The sequence below is a fragment of the Homo sapiens genome, chromosome 3 (assembly GCF_000001405.40).
Source record: "Homo sapiens chromosome 3, GRCh38.p14 Primary Assembly".
In the NCBI taxonomy this organism is placed as follows: Eukaryota; Metazoa; Chordata; class Mammalia; order Primates; family Hominidae; genus Homo; species Homo sapiens.
Genome location: NC_000003.12, coordinates 136,927,596 through 136,946,558, shown reverse-complemented (window position 1 = coordinate 136,946,558; position 18,963 = coordinate 136,927,596). Strand labels below are relative to the sequence as shown.

Genomic DNA, 18,963 nt, shown 5'->3' with positions numbered 1-18,963 from the left:
AAATATATCAGGAATGCAAAATCAACAGAACTAGACAAGACGAAATAATTCAGTGTGTAGCAACACTGCCACAGCTCTCTTTTATTCAAAATAGATAGCTAGAAAGAATGCGGACTTTAGCTTTGGAACATTTATGCTTATGTTACGTCCCAGCTTGTTACCTGGTTAACTTTAGGGAAGCCACTTAACCTCTCCATTTCTCTCTCTCTTTTTTTTAAAATACCCAGAGCTCTATTTGTATTTACCTCCGAAAATCAACTTACCGAAGATTCACTATCACGAATGAGGAAATCCCCTTCATGTCCTCTTTCATTTAATGCCATTTCTGCTTGATGCCTGGTGACTTTGCCATAATACCAAGGATTGCCAGCAAACTTTCCAGTGAGTGAAGGCCTAATGTAATCACACTGTGGAGGTGATGGTTCCAAACCTGAAGTTAATGGATTATTCTGCATAACGGTAACATAGTTTTTTGGTACTAGACCAACCATACCATTGATCTTCCTGCATTTCCACCACTCTGGGTCATTTTCAGGTTTTTCAATAACATCCATTACATCTCCTTTCTCGAAATTAAGTTCTTCATCATTAGATGAGCTGAATGGGTAAAGAGCCTGTACCACATGCAACACTTGCCCAGTATTTAGGTTATTGACGACTGCTGCTAATTTCTCTGACAGAGAACCCACATGGTCACCCAAAGGACTGTCACCTTCTTCAGTTACATAGTTTGAAGGGAACCATCCAACTTGTCCATTGTAGCTACCACGCCACCACCCATCACTGCATTTCTCCATGACGATCACCTTTGTCCCCTTTATCAATGATAATTCATCCTCTCTCTCAGCCATGTAGTTAAATTTCACATAAGCGGGCATGTTGAGGTCATAGAGACGTTCCCCTGGGTCAACAAAACTATCATCAGCAGGAGATGCAGAATCTGGCACACTAGGTTTTCTTTTCACTTTTCCAATGCCTGTTGAAATTAAAAAGGGCCATGAGAGGAGAATATAAAAAAATGATTACCAAAAGAATGAACTTATTCATTATTAAAAAGAGATCTTCAACTCTATATAGATCTTTAAAGCTTTTAAATATAACAAATTTCTATGTAGTTAAAAATCATCTTTTTGGAAATAAGATGCAAATTTTCTTTTTCTTAACCAAATAAATATTTAATTTGTTATTATATGACAGTTCACCATCTTTTCTCTTGTCAAAGGCCCTGAAATAACTATATAACATAATTATAAAGTTGTCCTAAATTAATGAATTCCCTCTTAAATGTAAATATAGATTTCTTTCATAGCTACAATCTAAGTACACAAAGGCTCCACCACACCCATACTCTTCTTGTCTTAGTTTAAGCAAGCTAGATTCTACAATGAGCTGTATAAAAATAAAATTATTTCTATCTTAAATCAGAATATGATATGCAATATAAAATTGCAGTTATGTCTGGCTAATCTTCCCATTTGCTTTCTTGGTTCCCAGACCCAGGTAGCTCTATTTACCTCATATGTTTATTTTAAAATATTATTTGTTTTTCTCCCCTTACCCCAGTCATATGTAACCTCCAAAAGGACAGGGAGTTTTGTTTGTTTACAGATAGAATCCCAAGGATCTTGTATAGTGCTTAGTACACAGTAAATGCTTAACACATATGTGTTGAAAGAAATGAGAAAATCACCAAATGGTACTATCAATACAAATGTACGCTACATCAACTTCAGTCAGGCATTTTCACTGCTGCCCATTTCTTAGCGTGTGATTTTATGCTCTACTTTACCTAGAAAACTGAGGCTTCCCTAGGTAAAACTTCTCAAATTCCTTTTGTCTCAAAACTCTCATTATCCTCACTCTCGTTCTTCACTCAAGTCTCCAAATCCTGATCCTTCTAGGATCTTAATACTATCTTTCCTGACTCTCTTGGGACTCTCGACATCCTTGTTTTCCTTCCTATTTAGTCCCTTCAATTGTCTAAAAACACACTCATATCTTTTCTACTCCAAAATGAAGTTACTTTAACTCTGCTACAACTTTTAAACCGTAACATTTTGGTAATTTATTTATTTTTTCTCTAACTGGTCCAATTTTCCTATAGAATAAACTATACCACTCTTTTAAAAGTTGTCTTTCCCGGCTGGGCACGGTGGCTCATGCCAGTAATCCCAGCATTCTGGGAGGCTGAGGCGGGCAGATCACAAGCTCAAGAGATCGAGACCATCCTGGCCAAACATGGTGAAACCCCGTCTCTACTAAAAATACAAAAATTAGCTGGGTGCAGTGGTGTGCACCTGTAGTCCCAGCTACTCAGGAGGCTGAGGCAGGAGAATCGTTTGAACCTGGCAGGCGGAGGTTGCAGTGAGCCAAGATCACGTCACTATACTCCAGCCTGGCGACAGGGCAAGACTCTGTCTCAAAAAAAAAAAAAAAAAAAAAAAAAGGTTGTTTTTCCTTTTCCCTCGACTTTTTCACCACTCACACTCCCAACTCTTTATTATCTGATCCTTTGTCTCCAACATTCTAACAAAACTACTCAATTAAAACCATTCTTATGAATACCATTCTTATGTCATCTCTCCTTACTGTCAAATCAGTAACTTTTAAAGTCCTCAGCCTTCTCAAACTCTATATGCAGCAACCAAGATCACAGCCCACTCTCTCCATTATGTTTTCTTCTTCTTTGACTTCCCCGAATTTCTTATTTTCCCTCCCAACCTGTTTACATATTCTTGTTTACCTCTGTCTAGGCTCCTCTAACCTTGTTATTATAACACTGCATTGTACTTGTTTACTTGTCTGTCTTCCTCAATATGAGTGAACTTCCTGAGGGCAGAAAACGAGATCTTATTCGTTTCTGTCTCCAACGCTTAGCAGTACATACATCAGTAGTAGGAACAAAGGAAAAACAAAATTATGTATTCAGCAGTCAGCAAACATGCTGAATGAATAAATGAAGAATTCCTTAGCTGAAAGTGTTTCACAAGATGACATACTTGACCTTCCTCTCTATTCCAAGGAAATCATACACTTTCATTTTCTATAATTTCTGTGCAGAAGGTTCCCAGATCTCTTTGCAGCTCTAAGACCTTTCTGGAATTCAGGCATTACAATTCCAACTGTCACTAGACACCCACAGATTGTGCCATCAGTACCTCAAACCCAACACTCATGTCCAAATAAAAATAATCCAGTCTATACCCCTAAATCAACTTCTTCCTTCCTAATTTTCTTACTTCCGGTTAATGATAGCCTTCAGAGAAATCCCTACATTTGGGGTGATACCACCAAAAATAGTAGAGTAAGGAACTCCAAGGCACTGTCCCTGCAAAAAGCAATGAATGCAATTAATGAGCTGGTAAATACTGTCAGACTCAACTTTTGCAGAACTCTGGAATCTAGTAAAAAAAAAAAACTTATAAAATCTAGGGCAAGGCTTGGTAAAGAAAGAAGTTGCTGCTTTGTGGTAAAGAGAGTGCTATCGCATCCTAAGTTGCCTGCCCACCATCCCCCACACCCCAAGTCAGTGATGGCTGTGTGGACAGTAACCTGCACTCCTAATGCCAGAGGAAGCAATACAGATCTCATTCTTAAACAATTGTGATTGTGGGTTTCAACTTGTCTGGCAGCTCCCTGAAGGACCTGAGCAATGGCTTGCCTTGGCTTTGCCTGACTTGAATCATTCCCAGGCATAGGGAGTCTTCCTGGGTGGTTTTTGCAAAAATCATTTAATGGATGCAGCAGCCTGGGGCAAGGGACAACAACTGGGACAAGGAACAGACAGATGGAAAAGCCTGGACAGAAAGGGGATGGGAAAGAATATACATGGGGTAATAAGGGGTGTGTATACCAATCAAGAAGGACGTGCACATGGCCAGGGCTGGATGCACATTCAGGAAAGGCCCAAGAAGACCCTAAGCTTTCACCCTGGCTGATCTTCAGGCTTTGAGCAAACAGTAAGCAAAGGCTAAGGCAGAATTATAAATGGCATCACTAAGTGGTCAAAAACTGCCCCAACATAAAGCCATCTGTAAAGATGGGGAGAGGTTTTCTTTTGTTTGTTTGTTTTTTCTTTTGGCTCCAGGTGTTTAACGAAACTCTGTTAAAACCCTAGCTGATTACTAAGCAAATGGAATAGACTTCAGCGGCCCCACATGACCAGGAATATAGAGCTTATAAAAGTAGTTTAGTAAAGTCACTAAACAAGCAAACAACAACCACTCACAATAAGCAGCAGTAATAAGCCCTGGGGAGGGGATAGAATCTGATCTGATGCTGAAAGCAAAAGAGCCAACAAAGAATTCTATATTTAGCAAAACTGTCCTTCAAAAATGAAGGAGAACATAAGACATTCCCAGATAAACAAAAACTAAAGGAATTCATCACTACCAGACCTGTGCTAAGAAATGCTAAAGAGAGGCTGGGCACAGGGGCTCACACCTGTAATCCCAGCACTTTGGGAGACAGCGGTGGGTGGATCACGAGGTCAGGAGATCGAAACCAGCCTGGCCAACATGGTGAAACCCCGTCTCTACTAAAAATACAAAAAATTAGCCGGGCGTGGTGGCACACGCTTGTAGTCCCAGCTACTCGGGAAGCTGAGGCAGGAGAATTGCTTGAACCCGGGAGGTGGAGGTTGTAGTGAGCCAAGACCGCACCACTGTACTCCAGCCTGGGAGACAGAGCAAGACTGTCTCAAAAAAGAAGTGCTAAAGAGAATCCTCCAGGCTAAAATGAAAAAACACTGGACAGTAATTTGAAGTCATATGAAGAAATAAAGAACAATGGTAAAGGTAGCTACATAAGTAAATATAAAAGTCAGTAGTATTGCAGTTTTTTTTTGTAAATTCTCCTTTTCTTTCCTACACAATTTAAAATACAAATGCATAAAACAAAAATTTCAATTCTAGGTTAATGGGCATATATTTTAATGTGTAAAGATGTAATATACAAAGATGGAGCTGCAAAGGAGCAGAGTTATGCATAGTACTGAAACTAAGTTGGTATTAATTCAAACATGATTGTTAAAAACCTAAGATGTTAATCCCCAGGGTAACCACTAAGGAAAAACAAAAATACAGAAAGAGAAACAAGAAGGGTAATAAAACAATATATTAGAGAAAATAGTCCAGTCACAGAGGCTCACACCTGTAATCCCAGCACTTTGGGAGGCCAAGGTGGGCGGATCACTTGAGGTCAGAAGTTCAAGATCAGCCTGGCCAACATGCTGAGACCTCGTCTCTACCAAAAAAATACCAAAAAATTAGCCAGGCATCGTGGCATGCACCTGTAGTCCCAGCTACTCGAGAGGCTGACATATAAGTGTCGCTTGAACCTGGGAGGCAGAGGTTGCAGTGAGCAGAGATTCCACCACTGCACTCCAGCCTGGGTGACAGAGTGAGACCCTGACCCCCACCCTCCAAAAAAAAAAAAAAAAAAGAAAAAGAAATCACAAAAGAAGACAGTAATAGAAGAATTGAAAGAAAAAAAAGTAAATGAAAACAGCAAAATAGCAGAAATCCTTCCTTATCAGATATAACTTTAAATGTAAATAGATTAAAAATAACATGATGCAACTGTTATCTGCAAGACACTCACTTTAGATCCAAACAAAGATGCAAATAGGTTTGAAAATGAAAGGATGGAAGAAGATATCCCATGTAAAGGATAACTGAGAGAGTGGGGTGGCTATATAAATATCACACAGCATAGGCCCGGCGCGGTGTCTCATGCCTGTAATCCCTGCACTTTAGGAAGCCGAGGCGGGTGGATCACTTGAGCTCAGGAGTTCAAGACTAGCCTGGCCAACATGGTGAAACTCCGTCTCTACCAAAAATACAAAAATTAGTTAGGCATGATGTCAGGTGCCTGTAATCCCAGCTACTCAGGAGGCTGAGACAGAAGAATCGCTTGAACCTGGGAGGCGGAGGTTGCAGTGAGCCGAGGTCACGCCACTGCACTCCAGCCTGGGCAACAGAGCGAGACTGTCTAAAAATAAATAAATATATATCACACAACACAGACTTAAAGACAAAGGACAGCATATATTGATAAAAGAATCAGTCCATCAAGAAGTGTAACAGTTACAAATATATGCATACCTAACAAGAGAGCCTCAAGGCATATAAAGCAAAAAATGACAGAATTGAGGGAGAAAAATAGTTCAATATACTTGGAGACATCAATACCCCACTTTCTGTAAGGGACAGAACTAAATGAAAAATCATTAAGGAAATAGAGGCCTTGAGCAGTACTATAAACCAACTAGACCTAATAGACATATAGAGAATATCCCATCAAACAAAAGCAGAATATATCACACATTTTTCTCAAGTATACATGGAATATTCTGCAAGATAGACCATATATTAGGACACAAAACAAGGCTCAATAGGCCAGGCACAGTGGCTCAAGCCTGTAATTCCAACACTTTGGGAGTCCAAGGTCGGGGGATCACTTGAGCCCAGGAGTCTGACGGCAGCCTGGGCAAGATGGTGAGACCTTGTCTCTACAAAAATAAAAAGTAAAATAAAATAATTAGCCAGGTGTGGTGGTGCATTCCTGTAGTTCCAGCTACTCAGGAGGCTGAGTTGGGAGGATTGCTTGAACCCAGGAGTTCAAAGGCTACAGTGAGCCATGATCATGCTACTGCACTCCAGCCTAGGTAACAAAGAGAGACCCTGTCTCTATTTTAAAAAAAAAAAAAAAAAAAAAAAGGCCTCAATAAATTTGAGATTGAAGTCATACAAAGTATCTTTTCTGACCACAATGGAATGAACCTAGAAATCAATAACAGAAAGGAAAACTGGAAAATTAACAAGTGTGTGGCAACTAACACTCTCTTAAACCAATAGGTCACCAAGAAATTTCACAAGATTAGACACTACTGTGAGACAAATGAAAATGAAAACACAACATACAAAAACCTATGGGAGGCAGCAAAGGCAATGCTCAGAGGGAAATTTATAGCCCTAAAAGCTTGCATAAAAAAGAAGAAAGATCTCGAATTACCAACTTAAATTTAATCTTAAGGAACTGGAAAAGAAAAACTAAACTCAAAGCAAAAAGAAGGAAATAATAAAAATCAGAGCAGAGATATACACAAAAGAGAACAGAAAAACAGAGGAAATCAACAAAACCAAAATGTGGTTATTTGAAAATATCAGTAAAATTGAAAACTCTTTAGCTAGACCAACAAGAGAGACACTCAAATAAATAAAATCAGAAATAACATTTCTACAGACCTTACAGATATTTTAAAAAGGATTATAAACAAATACTATGAACAACTGTATGCCAATAAATTAAAAAACCTAGAAGAAAAACATCAATTCCAAGAAACACACAAACTACCAAAGCTGACTCAGGAAAAAATAGAAAATCTGAACAGACATATAACAAGTAAAAGATTCAATCAGTAACAAAACATCTCGCATCAAAAATGTGCTCTGGACCAGATGGTTTCACTGGTGGATTTTACTAAACGTTTAAAGAGGAATTAACATCAATGCTTCTAAAACATCTCTAAAAAGAAAAAAGGAGAGAATACTTATTAACTCATTCTATGAGGCCAATATTACCCAGAATACCAAAGCTATCACAAGACAACTGGCTAATATCACTTAGAAATATAGATGCAAAAATCCTCAACAAAATTCAGTTGATTTTCATTGTTTGCAGTAGTTATGTTCTATAAAGTTACCATAAATACTGAATTAGCAAATACTGAACCACAGCTCCTAAGGGAAAAACAGGGTTAGGCTCCAATCATGTTTTTGTTAACCAATCACTACACAACCCTGTTTTATGTGTGTTTCTCTTTAAAGACACTTTAATATAAATTGTGATTAACATAGAATTCACAACATCACTATAACTCATGCCTAAATGAAGCTTATCTAACACACATTTTTTCCATAAGCAAATTCACAGCTTTCTTGTGTTTATGAACTCTAGGCAACACTTCATCACTATGCTTGGGGGCCATTTTAAACAGCAAAATCATCAACAAGCACAAAAATGCAAAAAATGTGGTACTAAATAGACTGCACAAAGGACACTGGTTTATAGTATGAAAGCTGAAATAAGAAGGAAGAACATTGCCTCAACTGGGAATGTGCACATCAGATGACTCACATTTTTGCCACACTGCACATGTCCACAAAACACTGCAATTATCAACTTTGGGCTTATAAATAAATTTTAGCCAATAAGTGAATTCACAAATACAGAATCTGTGAAAAATAAGGATCATTTGTACTAGGAAAACCAAATCCAGCAAGCATATTAAAAGGACTGTATATGAGTAAGTGGGATTTATGCAAGGGTGGTTCAACATATGAAAATCAATATAAGACACCTCATATTAGTAAAACAAAGGGGAAAAAACAAATGACTATCTCAATTGATGCAGAAAAAGTATTGGACAAAATCCAAAACCGTTTCATGATAACAATGCTCAGCAAACTAGGATTAGAAGGGAATTTCCTCAATATAATAAAGGGCATCTGCAAAAAACTGTGGAGCTGACATCACACTCAATGGTGAAAGACAAAGTTTTCCACCGTAAGAACAGGAACAAGACAAGAACAAGGATGCTCTCCTTCCACCACTTTTATTTAACATTGTATTGGAAGTGCTAGTCAAAGCAATTAGGGAGGGGAAAAAGTATCCACAGATGACATGATCTTATAAATAGAAAATCCTAAAGAATACACACACACCCACACACTCACACAGAGTGAGAATAAAAAAATTCAGCAAAGCTGCAAGATCAACACACAAAATCAGTTGTATTTCTATACGTTAACAATGAACAATTCAAAGACAAAATTAAGAAAATAATCCATTTATAACAGCATTAAGAAGAATAAGATACATAGGAATAATTTTAACCAAGTATCAGACTCATATACTAAACACTGCAAAACACCGCTGAAAGAAATTAAAGAAGACTTAAATAAACGGAAAGATATTCTGTGTAAGATGGCAACAGTATCCAAAACAATCCACAGATTCAATGCAATTCTTACTAAAGTTCAACCATTTTGTTTTTTCCACAGAAATGAAAAGGCTGATTCTAATATTCACACAGAACTGCAAGGTGGACCCTAAGCAACCAAAACAATCTTGAAAAAGGAAAATCAAGTGGGAGGACTCTCCCTTTCTGATTTCAAAACTTACTACAAAGCCACAGTAATCAAAACAGTGTGGTATTGGAATAAGGACAGACATATACAGCAATGAAATAGAATCGAGAGTCCTAAAATAAACCCATGGATCTATGGTCAATTGATTTTCATCAATGGTGCCAAGATCACTCAATGGGAAGAAAGAATAGTTTCTTCAACAAAGGGTACTGGAACAAATGGATATCTATAAACAAAAGAATGAAACTGGACTCCAACTTCACATCATATATAAAAATTAACTCGAAATGACCAAATGTCAGAGCTAAAACTATAAAACTCTTAGAAGAAAACATAGGAGCAAATATCTGTGACCTTGGATTTAGCAATGGATTCTTAGATACTGACACTAAAAGCATAAGCAACCAAAAAAACAAGATCCATTATACTTCATTAAAATTGAAAACATTTGTGTATAACACACTATCAAGAAGTGAAAAGACAACCTACAGAATTAGAAGAGAATATTTGCAAATCATAATTCTGATAAGGGTCTAGTATCCAGAACATATAAACAACTCTTAGAACCCAACAACAAAAACAACTACTTCAAAAATGGGCAAAGGACTTGAATAAAGATTGTTCCAACTACGGTATACGAATGGCCAACAGGCACATGAAAAGATCCTCAATATCATTAGTCATTAGAGAAATGTAAATCAAAACCACAATGACCCTACCTCACACCAACTACAATGGATATAAGCAAAGAAAGAAAGAAAATAGGTGTTGGCAAGGATATGGAGAAACTGGAATCCCCCTTACAATACTGGTTGGAATGTAAAATGGTGCCACCATGTGAAAAACAGATGGTTTCTCAAAAAGCAAAGAATTACCATACGATCCAGCAATTCCACTTTTAGGTATACACTTAACTGAAAATAGATATTCAAACAATAACTGTACATGAATGTTTATCACAACGCTGTTCACAATAACCAAAATATGGAAACAATTCAAATGTCCATCTATGAACAGATGAGTGGATAAACAAAATGTGATATATACATATAATAGTTATTCAGCCAGCCGGGCACAGTGGCTCACGTCTGTAATCCCAGCACTTTGGGAGGCCGAGGCGGGCAGATGACTTGAGGTAAGGAGTTCGTGACCAGCCTGGCCAACATGGTGAAACCCCATCTCTACTAAAAATACACAAATTAGCCAGGCGTGGTGGCATGTGCCTGTAATCCCAGCTACTTGGGAGGCTGAGGCAGGAGAATCACTTGAACCCAAGAGGCAGAGGTTGCAGTGAGCTGAGATCACGTCACTGCACTCCAGCCTGTGTGACAGGGCGAGACTCTGTCTCAGAAAAAAAAAAAAAAAAAAGTTATTTAGACATAAAAGGGATGAATTACTGATATATGCTACAACATGGACAAAACTTGAAGATATTATACTAAATGAAAGAAGCCAGACACAAAAGGTCACATACTGTATGATTCCATTTATATAAATTATCCAGAATAGGTAAATCCATAGAGACAGAAAGCAGATTAGTAATTGCCAGGGACTGATTGAGAGTGACTATTTTTGGGGTGATGGAAACATTTTGGAATCAGAAGTGATGGCTGCACAACACTGTTAATGTACTCAATACTACTGAATTACATACTTTAAAATGGTTAATTTTATGTTATACAAATTTTACCTCATAAAAAAATTTTTAAGAGTCTTACATCAAATCCTCACAATCCTATCTCCTTATTGCCAACACTTTCCCTTCTCACTATGGTCACTCTTCTTCAGGCCTATTATGTTGTACCAGAGGTTTCGTGACCCCACTAAACTAGTTTCCTTATTAATTCAGTTTCTCCCTCAGTCGACCCATCATCCATATCAACCAGTCTGATCTTCCTATAAATAAAGCTGCAATCACATGACATCACTGCTCAAAAGCCAACAGTGGCTGTTTCACATAGCAGATTCTCAATAAATGTCAAATTGAGTAAAAGTGAATAATGATATGAGGCACATACAAAAAAAAAAAGTTAAACCTGAAAATACAGACTAAGTTTCAAATGATATTTTTGAAAATTCAGAATTTGCACAGTTTTGTATGGTAAAAGAAATGCAAAAGATCAGTAAAACCTAGAATGATTCTCTCTGGAAGCTTATATTTAAAAACATTATGTCTAAGACTAATTACACATTGTCAAAAAAAGAATGGCCCAGCACGGGGGCTCACACTGTAATCCCAGCATTTTGGGAGGCCGAGGCAGGCAGATCACCTGAGGCCAGGAGTTCAAGACCAGCCTGGCCAACATGCGAAACCCTGTCAGTACTAAAAATACAAAAATTAGCCAGTCATGGTGGCGCACACCTGTAATTCCAGCTACTTGGGTGGCTGTGGCATGAGAATCATTTGAACCCAGGAGGCGGAGGTTGCAGTGAGCCAAGATCATGCGGAGTTTTGGGGGACACAAACACTCAGGTCATAGCACTTCCTGACCTCACAGTTCACCACAATCTTCTTAACCTTGACTAGTCCTTTTTGCATCAAACCCTTCTAACCCATTGCTTAACCGACTCCAATTCTCTACTCTTTAGTAATAAAATATCTACTATGAGAACTTTAATAGGAGATACAAGTTTAAATTTTAGTTCCGCTACTGGTTGTGTGATCTTGGTCAAGTTATTTAATCTTTTTTATTTCTAACACAGGAACAGAAAACCAAATGCTTCCCCCTTGAAGGGGAAGGGTGGGCAAAGGAGAGTAGGAGAAAAGATAATGATTGGATACTGGGCTTAATACCTGGGTGATGAAATAATATGTACAACAGGACAGGCGCGGTGGTGCACACCTGTAATCCCAGCACTTTGGGAGACTGAGGCGGATGGATCACATGAGGTTGGGAGTTCGAGACCAGCCTGGCCAACATGGTGAAACCCCATCTCTACTAAAAACACAAAAATTAGCCAGGCGTGGTGGCAGGCACCTGTAATCCCAGCTACTCGGGAGGCTGAGGCAGGAGAATCACTTGAACCTGGAAGGCAGAGGTTGCAGTGAGCCGAGATCACACCACTGCACTCCAACCTGGGCAACAGAGTGAGACTTGGTCTCAGAAAAAAGAAAGAAAGAAATAATATGAACAGCAAACCCCCATGACATGTATTTACCTATGTAACAAACCTTCACATGTACCCCCAACCCTAAAAGTTAAAAAAAAAAACCTCCAGTATCCTTGTTTGTACAATGGTGGTGTGTAAAAAAATAAATTCATAAAATGCTTGTAAAAAATTTTTAGAAGTCTATGTGTAAAGCACTTACAGTACATAGCAGGAACTCCATCAATGGTGGTTACTATTTTCCTACCTTCTAGTGCTTATGGTGTTTAATTTTCAAAATTACTTAAACTTGGCCGGGCAAGGTGGCTCAGGCATGTAATCCCAGCACTTTGGGAGGCTGAGGCAGGCAGATAACTTGAGGCCAGGAGTTCGAGACATGCCTGGCCAACATGGGGAAACCCCATCTCTACTAAAAATACAAAAAAAATTAGCCAGGTGTGGTGGCATGCACCTGTAGTCCCAGCTGCTTGGGAGGCTGAGGGACGAGAATCGTTTGAACTTGAGAGACAGAAGTGGCAGTGAGCTGAGATGGCACCAGTGCACTCCAGCCTGGGTGGCAGAGCAAGACTGTCTCAAGAAAAAAAAAAAGATTACTTAAATCTTTATTCTTGCATTATATAGCTGGACCTGGCTGTAGTTGGAAGGAAACTGCTCAGATCTAAGCACTGAGGAAGTGTACCATTCTGAGGCAGTTTTTTATTGTTAGCTTTGCTTAAATTAAAAAAAAAAAGTGTAAAGATAATTTCTGATCTTTCCCTCACTACCACCCACTGGTCTTTACTTCTCTTTTCCTATAGCACTGTTTCTTAACCAGAACAATGCATTATAAACTCCACAAGAATTCTTAAGAACCTGGTTAAGCACTGTGAACATTCCTTCTTCATATGACAGCTGTGCTCCCTGAGGCAAGTCTTTGTACCCATAACTATTCCTTATGTGACCTGGTTTGCAAATCCTTGATATACTGGATGCCAGCATTTGGAAGCATCCAAGTTTCTCAATACCATTGTTAAAGAATATCTATCAAAAGTGGATTAATTACATCATGTTTTATTTGGCCAACACACACATAAGGGAGCATACCTCCACCTAAGCACCTCTCAGACTCGAATCAATGTCACCATGGACTGTGTTGAGAGTTTTAGTACCTACATTACCACAGCAGCTCTTACTAAGTTTTTTACTCATGTAAGCTGCTGCCAGGCTAGGTTCTCACCAATCTATACAATTCCTTTTAAAATTTTAATGTAGAGTTTTACAATACTGTCTGTTCCTATTCATCTTGTTTATTTCTATCTTGATTTTAGTTTCCAAATATATTTCTGAACCCAGTGTACTTATTAGTGATTTCAGTATTCTTTAGTTTAAGCATGTTGTTTTTCCTTCACCTGTATCACTGAGTAAGTGTTGAGAATGGGGCCAAAGAAAGTTTTTCTGTTTCTTCTAATTCCTTAGTCAACTACAATTCTGTTCCCATGTTTCTACTTCTTCAAAACCAATTTCTCACTCATTGCTTTCGCTCAATTCCTATGACACACCTAAGACTGCTTAGTTGTTTACCAGGATGTAAGACTTTTAGAGTTAGAAGGGACTTTCCAGGATCATTTAGTCTTGCCCAACTCTCTCTTTTACAAGGAACAGAAAATCAGAGAAGTTCAGTTATATTTTGCAGGCCACATGGCTTGTAAGTGATATGTCTGGGAACAGAACTAAGAAATACCACATATAAATATATGGTATTCCTTCCATTACAGGTTTTTATTTAAATTTTTATATGTCCATCTGTTCACTTCATCTACATGAAATAAATTATTTTTTATTGTTTTATTTAAAACATTGTACAATTTTTGTTTTCAAAGATACTCTGGCTGCCACACAAAAAGCACATAATACTCTGTTTCTTCTACTTTATAAGCCCATTCAGGTAGGAAGTAGATGAATAGCCTGTCTCTACTCTGACAAACTGCCTGGCAAAATAAATAAAAATTTGGGGTTGCTGCAGGGATTGAGCAAAGAAACATTTTGGTTACAAATTTCAAATCCTGACTCCCAGTCTGCAAATGCATTAACTATCAACTTCCTAAGACTCAGCAAAAAGAATAATTTTACCACTGTATTGATGATATATATTGAATCACTGTATCAATGATACAATGGATTCTTTTTTTTTTTTTTTTTTTGAGATGGAGTCTCGCTCTGTTGCCCAGGCTGGCATGCAGTGGCACAATCTTGGCTCACTGCAGCCTCTACCTCTGGTTTCAAGTGATTCTCCTGCCTCAGCTTCCCAAGTAGCTGGGATTACAGGCACCCGCCACCACGCCCAGCTAATGTTTGCATTTTTAGTAGAGACAGTGTTTCACCATGTTGACCAGGCTGGTCTCAAACTCCTGACCTCAAGTGATCCACCCACTTCGGCCTCCCAAAGTGCTGAGATTACAGGCTTGAGCTGCCACGCCTAGCCACAATGGATTCTTTTTATGTCATTTCTGGTTGCTTTATGGTCAACATCACTTATGACTAAATCTAGATATGAAATCCACTGTATTATTAATAACAATCATCATATACCTCTCCACCAGAATGTAAGATTTGCTAGAGTTAGTATTAGTTTTTCACCCTATGATTTCTGCCTGGCTTGGAGTAGGCTCTCAATAAGAATGTGTTGATAAACAAATGAATGAGCAAATAAGTAAGTTCTTCAAAGGTAAAACTTACCCAAAAAATGAAAAATGCAAAGATCTGAAATTTTAGTAACTCCCCAAAAAGTAAACAGAAGAGACATATTCCAGAGGGAGTCACTAAAGCTAACAAATGAGTCTTCACATTACAATTACAACATTCTTTTTCAACAAAGTGCTTATTCCTTTTCTCTTTTGCCCTTTTCTCTGGAATCTCTTGTCAGGTTACTCTTTGTTTCCTTAGGCTTGTTGTGCATAAGAGACTTCTATAATAATTCCTCTGTTCATTTTTCTAGAAACACCAAGCAAATGTTCAAGGAGATCAAATTAAGTTCACTATAAGATCATAAGGAGGCCACTAGCAGAATCAGCAGAATTAGGCTCTTATAAATTATTATTAGTTTTACTTCATGACCCAAACTCAATAACAGTCAAGAATTCACTATTTTCCTCTTGGTTGTATAGCTGTTCTCATAACTCATATCAAAATATCAAATCTCACATTAATCAAAACATCAATTTCTAGCAATACTACATTAATTAAATAAAAATATTCTCTTTACTAGTGTTTTTATTAAAGATTATCTTTACACTGTTCCGCTAAAAAAAAAGTAAGCAAAAAGTAGTTAAAAAAAAAAAAGTTAATTCCAAAGTTGAGGATGAAGAAATTTGTTCACCTAATCCTTTTTATCTAATGTTTTTAATGTTTACAATTTATTTAATTCACTTCAAATGTCTGTGCTAAGTTGAAAATTACTGAATTAGAACTGCATCAAACTCAAACCATTTATATCCTTTCTCTACTTGTTAAACATTCATGCTAAAACATTTTAAAATTATTTTACTTACCAAGTCGAAACTACAATTTTTGGATATATCACCAATCATTTGGTTTATATTACATACACATAATGTAGTAGCTTACATAAACCCACCAAATAAGAGTTTTCCTTTAAATTTACAAAAGCAGAAAATCTAATTCACAACTTCAAGAAAACAGTGGATTTAATAAACAGATTAACTTACTGAAAAAATCTTTAAAGACGTTTAACCAATCCATTTTGAGTAAAAATTCTGTGTTCTGTCAGTTTGTTAACACAGCTCAGGATAATTCTCAGTGAGCTTCCTCGTCTGTTCTGCAACACTGAAACTTCCCACACCCAATCCATGTGACCTGGCCCACACCCAGGCAATAGAAAATTTTTCTGAGGCTTCTCTTTCCAAAACTTTTTTTTCCTCTAAATTATAACACAGCCTGTATAACAAGTAAATAATCATGGCCAAAAATATGACCTTATTATTCAGACTTATTTTGGAAGATGCTTTAAAGCATATATATTTTTTATAGTTAAAATATATTCATGAATTAATCCTTTTGTTTTCCCCTTTTCCTTCTCAACTTTCAAACAATGTCTCCACCAGCACAACCATTGCGAAACAAATCCATTAATTACACCGGATATTTAAGTTACCAAAAAGGGATACAGAAATTATGAGAAAAGGGAAAAGTTTATCTAATGTAAAAGCTGGACTTATATCTCTTTACAGGTTAACTACAGATCACTAACTCAAAACAATGTTTCCAAGCACCCTGGAATAAAGGTAGCAATAACTGTAATACAGTAATAAAGTTAACAGAGATTTCCTAAGACTTAAATAGAGATAAAATCTTGATAAAACTGTCTCAATAACATCAGAATACTGTAGTACGGAATGCATCCTGGAGTATTAACAAATAAAAATTATATTTAAATGGGATTTTAGATTTACATACAGTAATACCTAATACTGGACTACTTCCCCCCTTTGCTCTATGATAATAGTTTTTTCACTATATTTTGTTAATTACTGTCACATTCACTCTAATCCCAAGATACCAGTGTCCTCTTAAAATGGAACAAAAAAGTCTAACTGGGTATGTCTTAGTACCCTGTGCACGTATCACTATGAGGCATACTTTCTTGACAGAAATTACCTTAATTTCTCCCAATATCTCTAATCATCATGCTTTAAATAAATTCCAGTATTTACAAAACCAGTATTGCTGATTCTAACCCTGGTCTCTTCTGCTACTGAAGGAAAATCTCTTTCTGATTTGTCTTCCATTGAAAAACTAAAAATAATGGTCTTAATCACAAAACCCAAAAGTATTTAAAAAGTTACCTCAGCAGTTAAACATCACATTATATCTACTTAATTACCTTTAGAACACTGGAAATATTTTTATCTCAGAAACTGATAATCCACTACTTTATATCTTACTCCAAATTGTACTATATTTTAGTTTTTGCAGTTTTACAATGGTTAAAAACATTAAATATTTGTATTTTATTGATAATTAGAAGAACATTCTAGAATAACAATAATGTTGAATAAGAATAAAAACTAAGCTGGGTATGGTAGTAAGCATCTGTAGTCCCAGCTACTCAGGAAGCTGAGGTGGGAGGGTTGCTTGAGCCCAGGAGTTCAAGTTTGGCCTGGACAACAGAGCAAGACTCCATCTCTACAAAACCATAAAAAATAAATAAATAAAAACTAATGTAAAGTAGTGAGTCAACAGTATTTCATATTTGTCAGTCATGCTATATTGCTCCCAAACTGTCTGCACAAGGAGAAATTGTACTTTTCTTCTACACCTAGACAAAGAACAATTACGCAAATAGCATGTTTGCCTGAACACCAAAAATGAAATTCTGTCCCTCCCAATTCCTTCCTGTCAGCTAAGGAGAGTTTAATTTTTTTTTTTTTTTTTTTTTTTTAAAGAAGAGGCCATTCCTTGCCCATGCATATTTCCTTCCTATCAGCTTAGCCAAGTCCAGTGTGAAGTGGGCTCCACTGTCTCAGGCCCTAATGGAGGGCCAGTAAAAATAAAAAACAAAAACTTTGGAGAAATAAAGGGAAAAAGAGAAACAAAATAGAAAAGAGCTCTGTAGGTGCTAATGTACAGTAATGATCCACAGTTCTCTTATCAAATAGAAAAACAAAATGGAGGGTTTTAAGTGAAGTTCAAAACATAAGGTCATTAGATGTTAAAATTCATTATGTGCCATGTACATAAGTTGCCTTGGTGCCAAAGAGGCAATTCTGCCTATAAGTCTAAACTCCAACAGTGATTCATGGTTCAAAAAGCCCCTGCTAGAAGGTGAGAGTTAGTTCTACTCATTGGTATCACTCTGCCTTGACTTGGAGCATGGGCCTAGATTTACAGAAACTGCATGTTAACACTTATGACCTTCACTGGTCTTCTGGGTTGACCACCTGCTATGACTCAAACTTACCTAGCCCTTGCCTTTTCAAGTCAATTATGCACACTGCTGCCAGAATTATGTACAAAGAACTAAGTTGCAGGTTTCATTTAAAACAAAGTTGCTTTTCTTTTAAAAAATATCTTACCTAAGGTATCCTTTAGGTTTTTCACAATAGATGCTTTCCGAGCACTGTTTTTCCTTTCCACATAGTTAGAAGGCACAAAACCTGTTTTATTCATGGAATTTCGAACTCGCCACCAGGACTTAGAATCATCCAGAAGCCATAATCTCTCATTCTTCTTGATGTCCAACTCTTGTTCTTGTTGGGCCACATAATCAAATTTGGCTACTACCACCACTTCTTCTGCCATCTTTCAGCAGCTTCAGCACTGTAAACACATGGAAAATATTTTTATGTAAGGTTGAGGTAGTATTAGTTCACATGCTTTTCAAAAGAGACACACCTAAAAATCTAAAGACATAAAGATGAAAAGTAAAAAATATGGAAAAAAATACATGAGGCAAATAGTAATTTAAAGAGACTGTGACTGTATGGCCGTGCGCAGTGGCTCATGCCTGTAATCCCAGCACTTTGGGAGGCCAAGGCAGGCAGATCACTTGAGGTTGAGTTCGAGACCAGCTTGGCCAACATGGTGAAACCCCATCTGTACTAAAATACAAAAATTAGCTGGGCGTGATGGTGCACACCCGTAGTCCCAGCTACTCAGGAGGCTGAGGCATGGGAATAGCTTGAACCTGGGAGGCGAAGGTTGCAGT

At 37.4% G+C, this 18,963-nt stretch overlaps 1 protein-coding gene and 1 long non-coding RNA gene across 10 annotated transcripts in view, besides 1 other annotated feature; one reads left to right on the top strand and one right to left on the bottom strand.

Annotated features, from left to right (window-relative positions):
* IL20RB-AS1 (IL20RB antisense RNA 1) overlaps positions 1 to 573 on the top strand; it is a 36,206-nt gene extending 35,633 nt beyond the window's left edge. For all 3 annotated transcript variants that reach the window (NR_183727.1, NR_183728.1, NR_183729.1), the window contains one exon: positions 228 to 573. This is a non-coding gene — a long non-coding RNA (IL20RB antisense RNA 1). The remainder of the gene's footprint in view (positions 1 to 227) is intronic.
* NCK1 (NCK adaptor protein 1) overlaps positions 1 to 18,963 on the bottom strand; it is an 89,399-nt gene that overhangs the window by 5,048 nt on the left and 65,388 nt on the right. For 6 of the 7 annotated variants that reach the window (NM_001291999.2, XM_047448189.1, NM_006153.6 and 3 more), the window contains 2 exons: positions 18,332 to 18,575; positions 264 to 976 (listed from right to left, as the gene is read on the bottom strand). In NM_001291999.2, the coding sequence (NP_001278928.1) occupies positions 264 to 976; positions 18,332 to 18,557 (939 nt within the window). In that variant the 5' untranslated portion in view covers positions 18,558 to 18,575. Of the gene's footprint in view, positions 1 to 263; positions 977 to 15,964; positions 16,058 to 18,331; positions 18,576 to 18,963 lie in introns of those variants that run through there. The other variant, NM_001190796.3, reaches the window with a different exon arrangement.
* Positions 15,985 to 16,185: a silencer, noted in NCBI's record as "peak4840 fragment used in MPRA reporter construct". NCBI's record gives its function as "represses an SCP1 promoter by STARR-seq MPRAs in K562 erythroleukemia cells {active_cell/tissue: K562}" and the evidence as "EXISTENCE:reporter gene assay evidence [ECO:0000049][PMID:32103011]".